Source organism: Homo sapiens, chromosome 5 (genome assembly GCF_000001405.40).
Source record: "Homo sapiens chromosome 5, GRCh38.p14 Primary Assembly".
Classification (NCBI taxonomy): domain Eukaryota; kingdom Metazoa; phylum Chordata; class Mammalia; order Primates; family Hominidae; genus Homo; species Homo sapiens.
In genome coordinates, this window is record NC_000005.10 from 23283526 (window position 1) to 23301369 (window position 17844).

At 34.4% G+C, this 17844-nt stretch overlaps 1 annotated feature.

Annotated features, from left to right (window-relative positions):
• Positions 12064–13263: an enhancer, noted in NCBI's record as "BRD4-independent group 4 enhancer chr5:23295698-23296897 (GRCh37/hg19 assembly coordinates)". NCBI's record gives its function as "activates an origin of replication core promoter dependent on BRD2, P300/CBP, MED14 and CDK7 cofactors, and independent of BRD4, by STARR-seq in HCT116 cells {active_cell/tissue: HCT116}" and the evidence as "EXISTENCE:reporter gene assay evidence [ECO:0000049][PMID:35650434]".

A 17844-nucleotide genomic window follows, 5' to 3' on the forward strand; every position in this document is an offset into this window, starting at 1 on the left:
GAATGCTGCATGGAGAATAGATTTAATTTCAGAATCATAGAGAATAATTCAGAAAATATGACAGTTGTGTAGCCAACAGCAATTGCTGTTATTGACTTTGGCAGTCCGGGTTGAGAGAAATATTTACGTTCTCAATGTGTTCTCGAATATATGTTTACTGAGATATGTTTGAGGAGACAGAATGAATGGAAATCAGTGACAAAATCATGGTTGAATAAATTCATGGCCTGAAAAAATATGGCTGATAAGGGAAGACTAAGAAAGGAACGAGTGTGGCAATCAACAATTTAATTACCAAACAGTTATAGTCATACCCATTATAGGCCTACCTCAACGATTTCAGACTTTTTGTCAGACATCTAACAGGAGATTTTAAATATAAAGTTAAATATATACGTAGGGTATAAAGAAAAAAATGATTGGGGTTAGAGACGCATGTTTGAACTTATCCACAATATTAAAGATATTATACAAAAATATACCAAAAGATATTGGAGATAATATCTAGATGAGATAATATCTAGATGAGATAATATACAAAAAGATATTGGAGAAGGATAAGCAAAGAGTTTAGAATTGGAGCCAAAAGCCAACAACAATTTTTAAAACTCAAAACAAAAATTAAAAACAAAACAAGTAGAAAAATAAAACATTCAGGGGTCAAGTAGAGATAGAAGAACAAGAAAGAAGATAAGCGGCTAGAGAGGTAAGAAGCAGTGAAGAGGATGAAACTGAAAAAACATGGTGGCCTGAGAAAAAGCTAAAGGTCTTCTACTCTGAATTATTTTGAGAGAAGGTTAAGTCAAAGGACTAAGTAGAAGTAAAACAGACAACTTCTTCTGCTGCCTTTATGGATGATAAGAGTACACATAAGATCCCAGAGTCAGGAAACCCAAATTTGCCTTCTAAAGCAAACAAAATACATGGCCACACTGTTTAATTATAGTTTCTTAATCAATGCAACTTGGAGACTTCCATCTTTGTTAGATTTCACAAACCAATTGTACTCTGACTTGCAATGTTGATGTCTAAAGGTCTGTAACAACCATGAGATATGATAATCATGTAAATTTTTTTTTCTTCATGATCAGCTTCCTTGTAAACCTGGTTAATTCTGGCAATCTTGTGATTATCATTTTAAATAAAAGCTTTTTTTTTTTTTAAATTTGGTTGGGACCATCTTGCTCCCTTTTCAACCTTTCTTTGCAAGTAAATCTTTCTCTAAAGCTATCTCAACAATAATTTTTCCTCTTAGCCAATTCTGCAGATTCTTCCAAAATGCATCAGAGCTGATTAAACTGTTTTTAAACATGGCCCCTCAAAGGTTGATTGCCCCAGGGCTATGTTCTTCAGATAATGAAATGAATCTTGTATAATAATGAAACTTTTACACTCATGGACTGGATTGCGCACTATTCCAGTGTGACCCCTGAAACTAACCACTCTATTCTAATGTTAATATTTATACTCAAGAGGCATCGAGCTAGTATTTGCACTGATTGCAAAACTATTTCTTAGTGAATTAAATTACACAGTACAATTTTGCAGAAATTCCTTTGGCTGACTTTAAGATATTTCAAAATGTAATTATTTGTGAAATTGAAAGATTTCATATTTATTGATATAAACTCTTTTATTTGTATTAAATAAACATTTCATTAAATGTGCTGACAAATATATATAAGGGCAATCTGCTTTATATGTTTTTATTTATTTTAGTGATGATGCTTTGTTCTGTTTACTTAAGAATATTATGGTATTTTCTTTTATAAAATTACTACTTGTTCTATTTCTTATTTATTTAAAAGATTGAGATTTAATATTAATATTCAAAGACATATAGAAACTGTGAGGCAATATTTTTCATTCTGCCTTACAAAAATATATATTTTTTTGTTTTAAAGATATGAATAATAAAAAATAGTCTAAAATCTCTATGGAAAGAAATGAATATATTGAAAATAATAGTCTTAAAATTAAATACATATTTTCTCACTACCTTGAACACATTGTGAGATTGGAAATCTTTTATTCACTTCCAATCATAGAAACATTATGCTTTCTGTTTTCATTTACTGCCATTTCCTTTCACTTTTCAAAGCATTTTCTGAAAGTAGCCTTTTTCCATCTCTCTTTTTTCTAAATAGCAGATTAAGTCGCCCTAAATAGAAAGAGTGCCAATTACCCACCATTATCAGTACTCTAAAACCTTAGGCCTCTTAAATAAAATGTATTTGGCTATGATTTTGCTGATCATAGTGATTAAATCTGGGCTGTTTAGAAATGAGTAAATAAATAAAGCTTAATCGTTAATCATCAAAGTCTTATAGGGGAAAAAAAGCAATAGAATGGAGTGAAAACTCTTAAAAACAGTTTGAAAAGAATGTAGTGTTATCATATGAACTGAAAAATGTCCTTAATTTTCAGGTATGATTTACATAGGAATCTAATCTTGCTTACTGAAATTTGGCAATATTAGATTATGAGATATAGTAGGTAATTTTCCTCTTTGTAATTAACATAAAATGAAATGACATAATTTCTATCATTAAAACATCTCGATTTCACTGGTAATAAAGCTTTAATTGTATAATAATAATATTATCAATGTTAAAGTATTCAAATGGAGGCAGGTCTCTGTGGGAGAGAAAGACAAAGCATAGAACATTACTTTCTTTTTTAAAATGACCTCTTAATGTAGAAAATTTATTTTCTCATTTATTTATGGATCTGTGCACCTATTTTCAGAAAGTGCAGTTTGTTTCTGTGTGAATGTTAGCACAGACAATGCCAAGTTTATATTAAGTCCTCCAAAAGGGTAGAAACACAAATATGAAGTATAATTTTTTATCTAAGATCACCTGTATTACAAATTTAGTTTGGCTTCCAGTTAATTAATTTCTCAAATCTCTCCTACATGCAGTTAGCACTTCATGGCTACATATATTTCTACATACAAGTGCAAAATGATGAAAAACATTGAGACCATGAAAACACAAGAAGCAGCCACAAAAGCCTCAGCTCTTTCTACTTTCAGGTAGATGGATTATGAGCTATAATATGTCATTTGAAATATCCTCCGGTGATTTGTTAGGACCATCATGACTCGTAACTACCAGGAAGTTTAATGTTTCAATTTCCTGCAGTTTAACACCACCTTAAAGTTGTCACATATCAAATGGTTCACCTGATGCAATGAGTTACTGGCATACAGAACCTACATTGTGAGTTCAACTGCCAGTCTTTTATTTAAAGCTGGTGGCTTCTTTTTCCTTTTGAGCCTTGAACACCATAGATGCAATTAGTCTGAATATTTAATAGTTAATTTATTTCTACCTGTTTTACCAGAAATATGTGTCTAACTGTTGCAGTATAGCTATGCATCTATTAAAAATCCCACCAATTGTAAATAGCTATCAGTGGTGGGTGGTGACAAGCATATGATAGTATTGTCCAATCAAAAAAATTAGGAAAACAAGAATTCATATGTGAACTCTGTGTATATTTATTAGGGAATCAAATTTCACTGCCTGATGGGTCTGGCTACAGAATCCTGCTTCTGTCCAAAACTATATTGTGTGAATGTGTGGGATATGAAATAAGTGATGGATGTGAAGATGCAGCTGTTAGATTCTAGCTCCCATTTAAAAATTGTTGAAAAACTTCATTTACTGATTAGAGCAACTCATAGTACTAGTGAGTTAACCAATACTAGGGATAAATATTAATTTAAATATGTTTAAATATGATTTAATTAACGATTATAAATTAAATATTCAATTAAATAACTAACTTAACCACAATAATTGTTATGCCTTTCCTATACATCAGGCATTAAGAATTATCTCATTTAATTCTTTCTGTAATTCTATAGTATAATTTTATTATTGTTAGCCTTTTATAGATGAGGAAAATGAGCCCTGAAGAAATTATGTAGTATACCATTGGTTTCATATATAGCAAATTTCAATTTCAGAATTCTGGTTACACTATATTACCTCTACAACAGATAGACTCTACTGTCAATGTTTCTAAGAATACTAAAGACAGAAGGATATTTATCTATTTATTAATTACAAGACAAATTTCTATGTGACATATATTTAAAAAAACTTCATGTGATGTAATTGTAAATAGCTTATATTTAAATATTAAATAGTTTGAATTATAAAAATAATTGAATTAAATTTTAAATTAAATATTTAATTTGCTATAGAAATTTAACATGCCCTTAATATCCACCAGGCAGTACATAGCTTAAAAACATTTATCTCATTTACATATATTATTACATTTGAATAAAACTCAGTAATAGGTTATCACATAAAAAAGTTTTGTTTTAAAAAGAATGAAGTTGTAAAATACATTTTTCCATTTTCTTCTGCTAAAACAGAATACCACAGGCTGGGTAATTTATAAACAGTAAAAGTTTATTTGACTCACAGCTCTAGAGACTGGGAAGCAAAATATCAAGGTGCCAGCATCTGGTGAAGACATTTGTGTTGCATTATTCCATGGTGGAAGGCAGTAGGTCAAGGAAGAGCATGCAACTGAGAGAGAAATTTAGCCAAACTCTTTTTCTTTTTAAATCAAGAGCGCACCCTCATGATAACTAGCCTGCTCCTGTAATAACTTCATGAATCTATTTATGTATAAGTCCTCTGCCATCATAATCTATTAAAGGCACCACATACCAATAGCATCAAAATGTCAATTAAATTTAATTATAAGGGTACAATGAAACCCTGGCATACAGACAGTATACCTGAATATGTATAGAAGAACATAAAGTAAGGGCCACAAAGAAATGCATCAAATCTAGCCCGGTTTTGAAGGATGAAAGTACTTTCATGGCTATTTATAGTTTCCCCCATAATGATCAGACATCATAAATATTGCAGAATAATAAAATGTTATATCACTTAAGAAATGTTGGAATGTATACTAAGAATTTTTGATGTATTATCTTGTTTAGTTTATTCATAAACCTCTTCAAAAAAAAGTAAATATTAGTTTCAGTTACTAATAAAATTTATCTCAGATGGTTTGTCACCTGGCCAATATTCCACAGCAATTAAGTGGAAAACACAAGATTGTAACCAAATCCGATTACAGAGCCAACATTTTAAAATGCTGGATATTCCAGGGTGTTACTTGAAGGCATAATAACTTTAACTCATATTATGGAAAAGAAAAGCAGAAAAATGCATGCAAACTCAGAGAACTAATCAACCATATGGAATATAAACAATTATAATTACTTGAGTCATTATGTGCCAAACACTCTTCTAAACAATTTTATGTCTGTAGATTCATTAAATTTACCCAGCACTCTTATAAAACAGATATTGCTGTTGTTATTATTATTATTGTTGACATTTTAATGATCATGAGAAACAAGCATGGGGTAGTTTAAACCTTGACAAAGATCACGAACCTAGCACTTGCTTAAGTCTGAATTTGCAATTTGTAAAGGTAGCGCCAGTGCTTGTGCCTTGGACACTATACCTTATTGCATTTCTCTGCTTGCCAATCAAACAACTATTTCCTCATCTTTTGGTAATAGTCCCTACAGGTCTTTAGAGAGGTTAGTCTTATGCCATTCAACTTTATCCTGATTGACTGTCTTAAAACAGCTCTCTGCCTCAATAAAGACTTGGGTACATAGTTATGTATATTCAGATATAATATCTCCAAAATAATCTATTGCCAAGTTTTATTACTATATATATATAAAACAGCCATATATTATTTACAATTAAATCACATGACTCAACTTGATTCAACGTGTGTCTCTGTCTATCCTAGAAATCCTGAGTTGAACTGAATATCTGCGGGAGACAGTTGAAGATGAGTCACTCTGACCTCTGTACCTAAAAATGTAGACATTAAGTCCTTACCCATGCAGAATGTCCTTCCTGAAATCTGATATAATAAAATTTATCTTTATTTTCTACTCTATGGCATTCCAATATTTTATTTTCTTCTCAGGAAAATACATTTTCTGTTACTTGAATTCAAATCATTCCAAATGATATGACATACCATAGGCACAATCTTATTATTTTCACTTAAATTTTCCTCAAATTCCTTTAATTGGTACTTATCAAGCACTTATTACAGGCAAAGCTATGAAATAGGAACTAAATTAAAATTAACAAATTGAGAGTAAGACATGAGATTAACACGAGAGTAGTTTCTAATGGAAGAGCCTGCGTTTAGCTAACAACCGCAAATTAATTATGTCAAACAATTACTAAGCCCTTATTTTGTGCCAGTTCCATATTAGCATATACTTTTGTGATGAAGCAATTTAGTTCTAGAACAGATGTTTTGTGTTAAGGGATAATCTGGAAATAAATGACTGTAAACTTAACTTGTTCAAATATGGATCTAACATGCTTTCAGTTCAAAGTTACATTATTTCAAGAGGTATTCCTTGTATATCTATTGCATATTCCATAATTTTAAATGTAGTTTAGATTAAAATCACAGAAGTCCTTGCAGTATATTATGAGCTTAATTCACATTGGAAAAAACGTATCTATTCTATAGTAGTATACAATGCATACCTCACCAAAATGTAGAAATCACTTGTCTGTTAATATCTTTACTCTATAATTTCATACATTTTAAATTTGTTATTTAACAAGGTAAAGCTAAAGGGAAGTGAGTTCAACTTGTAGCAATGGGACAGAACTTGACTGGTAAAAACTAAAAATGGGATCCAATTTTATAGTTTGGTTTTATTTTATGTACTTATGTATTTATAGTTCAATTGATTTGGGGGGAACAGGAAGGTGTTCGGTTACATGAATAAGTTCTTTAGTGGTGATTTCTGAGGTTTTGGTGCACCCATCACCCTGTACCCAATGTGTAATCCTTTATTCCTCGCCACCCACCACCCTTTCCTCCAAATCCCTCATGTCCAACCTATCATTCTTATGCCTTTGCGTCTTCATAGTTTAGCCCCCACATGTGAGTGAGAACATAAGTTTGGTTTCCCATTCCTGCATTACCTCGCTTAGAGTAACAGTCCCCAATTCCATCCAGGTTGCTGGGAATGCCATTATTTTGTTCCTTTTTTATGGATGAGTAGTATTCCATGGTATATATATACCACATTTTCTTTATTCATCCATTGATTGATGGGAATTTGGGCTGGTTCCATATTTTTGCAATTGCAAATTGTGCTGCTATAAACATGCATATGCAAGTATCTTCTTTGTATAATGACTCCTTTACCTCTGGGTAGATACCTGGTAGTGGGATTGCTGGATCAAATGGTAGATCTACTTTTAGTACTTTAAGGAATCTCCACACTGTTTTCCATAGTGGTTGTACTAGTTTACATTTCCACCAACAGTTTAAAAGTGTTCCCATTTCACTGCATCCACACCAACATTTATTATTTTCCCGATTTTTTGATTATGGCCATTCTTACAGGAGTGGGGTAATAGAGCATTGTGGTTTTGATTTGCATATCCCTGATAACTAGTGATGTTGAGCATTTTTCCATATGTTTATTGGCAATTTATATATCTTCTTTTGAGAATTGTCTATTCATGTCCTTAGCCTACTTTTCGATGGGATTGTTTATTTTTTTCTTGCTGATTTATTTGACTTCTTTGTAGATTCTAGATGTTAGTCCTTTGTTGGATGTATAGGTTGTAAATATTTTTCTCCCACTCTATGGGTTGTCTGTTAACTCTGCTGATTATTTTTATTTGCTGTGCAGAAGTTTTTTAGTTTAATTAAGTTCCATCTTTATCTTTGCTTTTGTTGCATTTGCTTTTGGGTTCTTGGCCATGAAGACTACCTATGCCAATTTCTAGAAGGGTTTTTTGTTTTTTTTTTCCCAATGTTAGCTTCTAGAATCTTTATGATTTCAGATCTTAGATTTAAGTCTTTGATTCATGTTGGGTTGACTTTTGTATAAGGTGATAAATGAGGATCCAGTTTCATTCTTCTACATGTGGCTTGCCAACTATCCAAGCACCATTCATTGAATAGGGTGTCATTTCCCCACTTTATGTTTTTGTTTGTTTTGTTGAAGATCAGCTGGCTTTAAGTGATTGGCTTTGTTTTTGCGTTCTCTATTCCATTCCACTGGTCTATGTGCCTATTTTTATACCAGTACCATGCTGTTTTGGTGACTATGGCCTTATAATACAGTTTGAAGTCAGGTAATGTGATGCCACCAGATTTGCTCTTTTTCTTAGTCTTGTTTTGGCTATGTGGGCCCTTTTTTGGTTCCTTACAAATTTTAAGATTTTTTTTCTAGTTTTATGAAGAATGATGGTGGTATTTTGATGGGAATTGAATTGAATTTGTAGATAGCTTTTGGCAGTATGGTCATTTTTACAATATTGATTCGACTCATCCATGAACATGGCAAGTGTTTCTGTATGTTTGTGTCATCTATGATTTCTTTGAGCAGTGTTTTATAGTTTTCCTTGTAGAGATCTTTTACCTCCTTGGTTAGGTATATTTCTCTTTTATTTTTGAGATGAAGTTTTGCTCTTGTTGCCCAGGCTGGAATGCAATGGTGCGATCTCGGCTCACTGCAACCTCCATCTCCTGGGTTCAAGTGATTCTCCTGGCTCAGCCTAGTGAGTAGCTGGGATTACAGGCATGCACCACTATGCCCAGCTAATTTTGTATTTTTGGTAGAGACGGGGTTTCTCCATGTTGGTCAGGCTGGTCTCGAACTCCCAACCTTAGGTGATCTGCACACCTCAGCCTCCCAAAGTGCTGGGATTACAGACGAGAGCCACCGCACCCAGCCTGGTTAGGTATATTTCTGTTTTTTGTTTTTTTTTTTGTTGTTGTTGTTGTTGTTGTTTTTCGCAGCTATTGTGAAAGGGGTTGAGTTCTTCATTTCTTTCTCAGCTAGGTCACTGTTGGTATATAGCAGAGCTACAGATTACAGATTTGTGTACATTAATTTCATATCCTGAAACTTTGCTGAATTCATTTGCCAGTTCTAGGAACTTTTTGAATGAGTCTTTAGGGTTTTCTATGTATACAAACATCATTAGCAAACAGCAACAATTTGATCAGTTTGATTTCCTTGTTACTGATTTGGATGCCCTTTATTTCTTTCTCTTGTTTGATTGTCCAGTACTATGTTGAATAGAAATGGTAAATGTAGGCATCCCTGTCTTGTTCCAGTTCTCAGAGGGAACGCTTTCAACTTTTCCCCACTCAGTATTATGTTGGCTGTGAGTTTGTCATAGATGGCTTTTATTACATTGAGATACATCGCTTGTATGCTGATTTTGCTGAGGGTTTTAATCCTAAATGGATGCTGTACTTTGTCAATCACTTTTTCTGTGTCTATTGAGATGATCGTGTGATTTTTGTTCTTATTTCTGTTTATGTGATGTATCACATTTATTGACTTACATAGGTAAAACCATCCCTGCATCTCTGGTATGCAACCCACTTGATCATGGTGGATTATCTTTTTGATGTGCTATTGGATTCAGTTCACTAGCATTTTGTTGAGGATTTTTGCATCTATGTTCATTAGGAATATTGGTCTGTAGTTTTCTTTTTTTGTTATGTCCTTCCCTGGGTTTGGTATTAGGGTTGTACTGGCTTCTTAGAATGATTTAGGGAGGATTAACTTTCTGTCTATCTTTTGGATTAGTGTCAATAGGATTGGTACCAATTCTTCTTTGAATGTCCAATCAAATTTAGGTGTAAATCCATCCTGTCCTGGACTCTTTTTGTTGTCATTTTTAAAAATTACTATTTCAATCTCACTGCTTGTTTTTGTTCTGTTCAGAGATTCTGTATCTTCCTGGTTTAATCTAAGAGGGTTGTATATTTCCAGGAATTTATCCAACTCCTCTAGGTTTTCTAGTTTACCTGTGTAAAGATGTTCATAGTAGCCTTGAATAATCTTTTATATTTCTGTGGTATTGGTTGTAGTATCCTATTTTGTTTTCAATTGATCTTATTTGAATCATCTCTCTACTTTTCTTGGTTAATCTCACTAATGGTGTATCAATTTTATTTATCTTTTCAAAAAATCAGCTGTTTGTTTCATTTATCTTCTGAATTTTTGGACTGTTTGTTTCAATTTCATTTAGTCTGCTCTGATCTTTGTTATTTCTTTTCTTCTGCTGGATTTGGGTTTCGATTGTTCTATTTAACTCCAGTTCCTTGAGGTATAACCTTAGATTTTCTATTTGTGCTCTTTCAGACTTTTTGATGTAAGCATTTAATGTAATGAACTTTCCTCTTGCACCACTTTTCCTGTATCACAGAGGTTTTGATAGGTGGTGTCACTATTATCATTCAGTTCAAAGAATTTTTTGATTTCCATCTGGATTTCATTGTTGACCCAACAATCCTTCAGGACCAGGGTATTTTATTTCCATGTATTTTCATGGTTTTGAGGGTTCTTTTTAGAGTTGATTTCCAGTTTCATTCCACTGTGGTCTGAGAGAGTACCTGATATAATTTCAATTTCTTAAATTTACTGAAACTTGTTTTGTGGCCTATCATATGGTCTATCTTGGAGAATGTTCCATGTACTGATGAATAGAGTATATTTTCTGCAGTCATTGTGCAGAATGTTTTGTGAATATCTGTTAAGTCAATTTGTTTTAAGGTATAATTTAAGTCCATGGTTTCTTTGTTAACTTTCTGTCTTGATGACCTGTCTAGTGCTGTCAATGGAGGATTAAAGTCCCCCATCTATCTCATTTCTTAGGTCCAATAGTAATTATTTTATAAATTTAGGAGCTCTTGTGTTAGGTGCATATATATTTAGAATTCTGATATTTTCCTGTTGGACAAGTCCTAGTCCTTGTATCGTTACATAATGTCCCTATTTGTCTTTTGTAATTACTGTTGCTTTAAAGTTTGTTTTGTCCCATGTAAGAGTAGCTACTTCTGCTTGTTTTTGGTGTGCATTTGCATGGTATATCTTCTTCTACTCTCCTGAAAATAGCACATACTTGGTTGGTGAATGCTTATCCATCCTGCCATTCTGTATCTTTTAAGTTGAGCATTTAGCCTATTTACATTCAGTGTTAGTATTGAGATGTGAGGTGTCATTCTATTCATCATGTTCTTCGTTGCTTGAATACTCTCAGCATTTGTTTTCTGGAAAAGACTCTATCTTTCCTTCATTTATGAGCCTTAGCTTCGCTGGATACAAAATTCTTGGCTGATACTTGTTTTGTTGAGGAGGTTAAAAATAGGACCCCAACCCCTTCTACCTAGTAGGGTTTCTGCTGAGAAATCTGCTGTTAATCTGTCAGGTTATCTTTTATAGGTTACCTAATGCTTTTATCTCACAGCTCTTAAGAGTCTTTCCTTTGTCTTGACTTTAGATAACCTGAGGAGTATGTGCCTAAGTGATGATCTTTTTGCTATGAATTTTCCAGGTGTTCTTTGAGCTTTTAGTATTTGGATGTCTAGATCACTAGCAAAGCCGGGTAAGTTTTTCTTGATTATTCCCTCAAATATGTTTTCCAAACTTTTAGATTTCTCTTCTTCCTCAGGAACACCAATTATTCTTACTTTTGGACATTAACATAGTCCCAAACTTCTTGGACACATCTTTTATTTTTAAAAATTCTTTTTTCTTTGTCTTTGATGGATTGGGTTAATTCAAAAGCCTTGCCTGTGAGCTCTGAAGTTCTTTCTTCTGCTTGTTTGATTCTATTGCCGACACTTTCCAGTGCATTTTGCATTTCTCTAAGTGTGTCCTTGATTCCTAGAAGTTGTGATTTTTTAAATTTATTTCACTGAAAATTTTTCCTTTCATATCGTGTATCATGTTTTTGATTTCTTTAAATTGGACTTCACCTTTCTCTGGTGCCTCCTTGACTAGCTTAATAATTGACTTTCTGAATTCTTTTTCTGGCAATTCAGAGTTTATTTTCTTGGTTTAGATACATTGCTGGTGAGCTGGTATGATCTTTTGGGGGTGTTAAAGAACCTTGTTTTATCATATTACCGGAATTGTTTTTCTGGTTCCTTCTCATTTGGGCAGAATATGTCAGAGGGAAGATCTGGGATTCAAGGGCTGCCATTCAGATTCTTTTGTGCCACAGGGTGCTCCTTTGTTGTGGTGTTCTCCCTGTTCCCATAGAAATGGGGCTTTCTGAGAGCTGAACTGGGTAGTAATTGTTTTTGCTCTTCTGGGTCTAGCCACTCAGGGTCCCGGCTGGTACTGGGGAGTGTCTGCAAAGAGTCCTGTGATGCAATCAGTCTTCAGATCTTGCAGCCGTGAATACCAGCACCTGCTTCAGTGGAGGTAGCAGGGGAGTGAAGTGGACTCTGTGAGGGTCCACAGTTGTGTTTTTGTTTAGTGGGCTGGTTTTGTGTTAGTTGGCCTCCAGCCAGGAGGTGGACTTTTAAGAGTCCATCAGCTGTGGTCCTATAGGGAGGATGCAAACTTGCCCTAGGGACACCTGGTTAAGTATTCAGGAATCTCAGATGGTGATCAGGGCTGTAGAGCTCCCAAGAGATAATGACCTTTGTCTTTGGCTACCAGCATAGGTAGAGAAAGACCTACCAGGTCGGGGGCACGGATAGGCATATCTGAGCTCAGCCTCTCCTTGGGAAGGGCTTCCTGTGGCTATTGTGGGGGATGGGGCGTGGTTCCCAGTTCAATGGAGTTATATTCCCAGGGGGATTATGGCTGCCTCTGCTGACTCATACAGGTCACCAGGGAGGTGGGGAAAAGCCAGGAGTCATTGGTTTCACTCTGCTCCTCTGCAGTCGGTAGTCCTAAAGGTCAATTTCACTCCCACTTGTGGTCCCCTAAGAGTACCATGTCTATTTCCAGGCAACTGCTGACTAGGGCAGAGAATTTGCCTCAGAACACAAACCTCGCCATTGAGAAAGCAAGCAGACTCAGGTTTTTGGCATCTCAGGTAGCCTGCATGGGTGATCCAGTTCCTTCAAAGAGTCTGTGGATTCTCTCACCTTTCCTAGTATGTTCCTGTGGTAGTTCTTGGAGCAAAGGACTCACAAAAATGTGAGTCTTCACGTGCTGCTCTGTCTGACCAAATGGGAGCTGCAGACTTTAGTCCTGTCTTCTATCCATCATCTTAATCTTCAGTATCCAATTTTAGACACTCCTTATGTTGTAGTTATCAGAGTGCTTCTATAGCGTGGAAGCCTTACAAATGCACTCTCCTGGACGGCAGAGAAGCCCAGAGATGTGAGGCAGACACTTGGAACCACTTTTTCGCCAAGGATTTGCTCTGAGGAGGGTGGAGATCTGAGAAGCTGAACAGTCATCTGTGGTTGAGAAGTAAGAAACTTACCAGCGTTTTGGACAATTGCACAGAGTTGATGAGAGGACATAAATTGGAATTTGAGGCTAACCTGGGAGAAGGATCCTGGATTCCACACCAAAATTTCAGTTGGGCCCCTGAGAGGATATGCCTTAGGTTAGGTGAAGAGAAAATATGCCGGCAATCACAGTAAGTGAAGCCAGTTTCAAAGCAAGTCAATGTCCATTTGTATTAAGGTTACCTGAACACTGTTTAATTGATTCTTGAAGCAAACATTTTTGGATGAAAAAACAATTTGAGTTTTAAGTTATCTTGCAATGTTTTATACATAATTTCTTGCTCTCATGCAAAAATAATCAGGCATGCAGCAACACAATAACAGCAGCAACAACAACAACACACACACACACACACACACACACACACAAACTGAAAGCAAACCAAAGAAAGAAAAGAAACAGAAATATCACAGTAAAACTGCCAAAAACAAAGACAAAGAGGAAAATTATAAAGGCAGCAAGAAAATAGAATTAGAGAAGCCCGAAAAAAGAATGTAACCTTCAAAAAACTTCCCCAAAGAAACAATAGAAGCCAGCAGACAATGGGCTGAAATCATTGAAGTGCCACCCTAGAACCCCAGAATTCAATACCTTGTGAAAATATCATTCATAAATGAAGATAATTGTTAATTTCTGAAAAACAAAAACTGGAAGAAATCAGCTGTGTAAGTCCCGATTAAAGAAAATGCTACAGGAAGATTTTTTTGGCACTGGAAAACAATCACAGATAGAAACATGGGGATAAAGAAAGCAGAGGGAAGAATGTGGCAGGCAAATTTGAAGGTGGATTAAATGAAATTGACTAAGGAAATAATTATATGTTGTAGAACTTTGTATATAATACTTATGCACAATTAAGTACATATTATATATATGCATGCACCTTAATTAAAGCACATATCTACAATAAAACTAAAGGCATGGGGAAATAACTGGAGACAGGTGTTCTAAGAATTCTGAGACCCCGATATTGTCTGAAATCTGGAAATATTCTGGGAAACACACTCTCACACTCTGTCTTATATTAGTCCTGTATTTTATTTTATCATTAATGAGTTAAGTGTATCTTATAAATTTTATATGAGTTGTCAACTAAAAGTAAAATAACTAGCAAATTATCCAAAAAGAAAACGGAAATTGATTAAAAAACATATAATACATCCAAAAAATGGAAGAAAGAATGAAAAAATTATAAAATAGAAAAGACTCTACTTAAACACACGTCAGTAATTAGGGTAATTATAAATGAATTAAACAACATATTTTTTAAAAGTTTGTCACACTGGTTTTAAAAAATATATATACTGCCTATTACTATCAAAACTCCATATAGTAAATATAAGGTAGGTAGAGTAGTATGAAAAAAATAAACACAATGAAAACATTTATCAAAATAGAATTTGCTTACCAATATACAGAGAAACTTTAACCTATGCTGGCATGTGATTTGCATTAAAAAAAAATAGCAATTATTTTTATTACATCTCGAGTTTGACCTCGAGATGTTATTGTCTGGGTTTATTTTTCATTCTCTACCCTTCACAATGTTTAATTTTTCTCCCACATTGCTTATTTCAGAATTTTCTCATTCCAGAATTATCTGATATTGATACTACCATTGATGTATTTATTAGAATTCTGCCATAAATTCTTCATAACAAACTCAAAATCTCAATGGCTTACAGAAAGTTTTTTTTTTCTTTTTTACTTATAGAAACATGGGCTTACATATTCCCCATGAGTTCCTCATTCTGGAATTAGCACTAGCCTTGGTTATGCTCTTTTCAAGGCAGATGGTAGAAGAAATGTAAGAGCTTCACAAGCACATTTTAAGCAGAAACTCATGGCATCTCCTAATATCCTATTATCGGCCACAAGAATAATTTGGTGAAGCCTTCATCAATGTGATATGCTGGATGGTCTGTGTTCTCTCCTGGAGGAACTGCAGTCACATGGCAAGTGTTGATGTATCATTTTATTACAAGAAGGGAGTGAAGAGATGGAACAATAATTTTATGTATTACATTTGGCAAATTTACCTTTACATTTGTTCAATTGTCACTTCCATAAGAAATCATGTACACAATCCCACAGTGTAGGCACAATACAGTAATATATTCCAGCAGTGTACCATTTTGTCCTAGGAGTTTTATTGTGTTTCTTGCCCATACATACACATTTGTTGAGAATAAGCTCTGTGTAGATGTATATGTATGTGCAATTTACATATAAGTTTATATAAATTACATAATTTTAAAATTAGTTCAATATGATTATAATGTGTTCATTAAATACTTGAAGAGGCTTGTCCAGAGATAACGCATTATCTCAATTGATTGTTCACAGTCACAGATCGAACTTCTGTTCTACTCTTTTCCTCCTTCTCATTATTGCACTTGACTAGTCTTAAAAAAATAAAAATAAAAAAATAAGTACTTGTTAAGGAAATAAAATTTTTGAGATGGAGTCTCACTCTGTCACCCAGGCTGGAGTGCAGTGGCATGATCTTGGCTCATTGTAACACCTACCTCCTGGGTTCAAGTGATTCTCCTGCCTCAGCCTCCCGGGTAGCTGGGATTACAGGCACCCGCCACCACGCTTGGCTAATTTCTTTTTTTCATATAAGAAAATGGTTTTATTCCTAATTTTTAGTTCCCATACAGTTTACAAATACACTTTTACTGTGATAATACAGCTTTGCAACTAGCAAAGCTGTTGCACTAACATTCATAAATATAGGTGGGGAGAAAATTAGCATTCACTAATATTTCTCTACATCAACTATTCTTTTAATGTCATTTTTTAAAAAACAGTTGCAAATAGACTACATAATATACTTGGGCAAAAAAGCAATTAAGTGAATTTCTTGAAACACTAAATGTATGATAAACAGCATATTATCAACATTTACATGAGTCACATCAAAATGATGACATCCTAAAACATATTCCTTTTAAAGGATAGATTTATCAATAAATATTACATATCTTTTAATACTCTGGTACAATACTTCATATATTGCAGGAAAATTAATTGTAGGTCTAGTCATCAGCTTAATCAGGGATCCTTTTCCCATTAGCTTTTATTAATAAAAGAATCACAATTAGGTCGTAAATAAACAGGCAAATTATTAATTACATGATTTGAGGCTTATGATGAAAGCTTGTCAAAATTAGTTTGATACACAGCAAAGTTATACGACACACTAAAACCAACTGTTCAATGGTTTTTGCCTTGTGTGAACTGCCCGTAGTGAAAAACAAACAAATTTTTAGTGATGAAAGATACTATAAACTATAGTTTGGAATGTTTCAAGAGGAAGAAGGAAAAAAGATTTCAACAAAATTAAGGGCAAATACAGATCCTAACAAAGGCATCCTGACATCAGGGAGGCCACGTGCTTGCTATATGTGAAACTTGAGTTCCCCAACAACATACAGAAAACAAAAGCTGCACTGGCTTTGTAGTTATGTCTGTAGTCTAAGTTTCCCTTATGGATACTAAGCTACAACAAAACACTTCAAAATTGCAAACCTTTCCACATCATCCTGAATTAAAAAAACTCAAGATGCTATTGGTTCTTAAAATCCCCAATAAAATAACCTCTAAAAATAATATTGACCATTTTCTTGGCTTCCCCAAAGCAAATGGGCTCTTTAAAGAATGCACACACACCAAGAAAGTCCTACCCATGTTTTCTCATCCCCAATTAGCCACATTTGAAAAGACCTTGATTTCAGTGGGAGAGATGACCATAAGTTTCAGAAGGGCCACACACTAGACACGAAGTGCCTTTTAGTTTTTCTTTTTTTTTTGAAAAAGTTACTAAGACTGTGAAATTTGGCTTTTTTTAACCCCAATACCATGTGCCAGATAAATCTTTCACCGCGAAATATAATATCCTATGCTTATAATTTTAAAATCCTCAGTGAGCTATGGAATATTGTGCATATTTAATACCTACCAGAAACCTAGAAGTAAATGGCATCCATGTGTCTGTCACACCGACTTTCCAAATAACCTGATTCACCCATTGCTGACTGCTCTGGCCCTGGGCTCTCTGACTTCCTCAGAAACCACCTCTTTGGAACTTGCATTTCCACAATTTTTTTTAAACTTGCACCTCGAGCTTTCTCCATCATCCCAGCCTCTCTGCCTGATTCCATCCCGTGTAAAGTAAACTCTTCTGAGAACTTGCGATCACCTTTTACCAAACACATGATAAGCCTTAGCAATCTAGGGTCTATGATAACTCTGGCCCTGGCCTAAGTTCACATAAGAACGTGATAGTTTGTTGACCTCATGGAGGGAAATCTAAATGAAATCAGTATCTTGTAACAAACAAAGCTAGCCAAGATCAGGTATTTCCATTCTGAGTATAAAAGCAACTGATCTTAAGCAACAGGCAGAGATGTTAATGCAGGAGATACATTTGCACAAACTCTTGTGTGCTGGTGAAAGACTTTACCCCCAAAGTCAAGTCAAGACAAAACCAAAGCAAAATGGAGAGTGAGTAT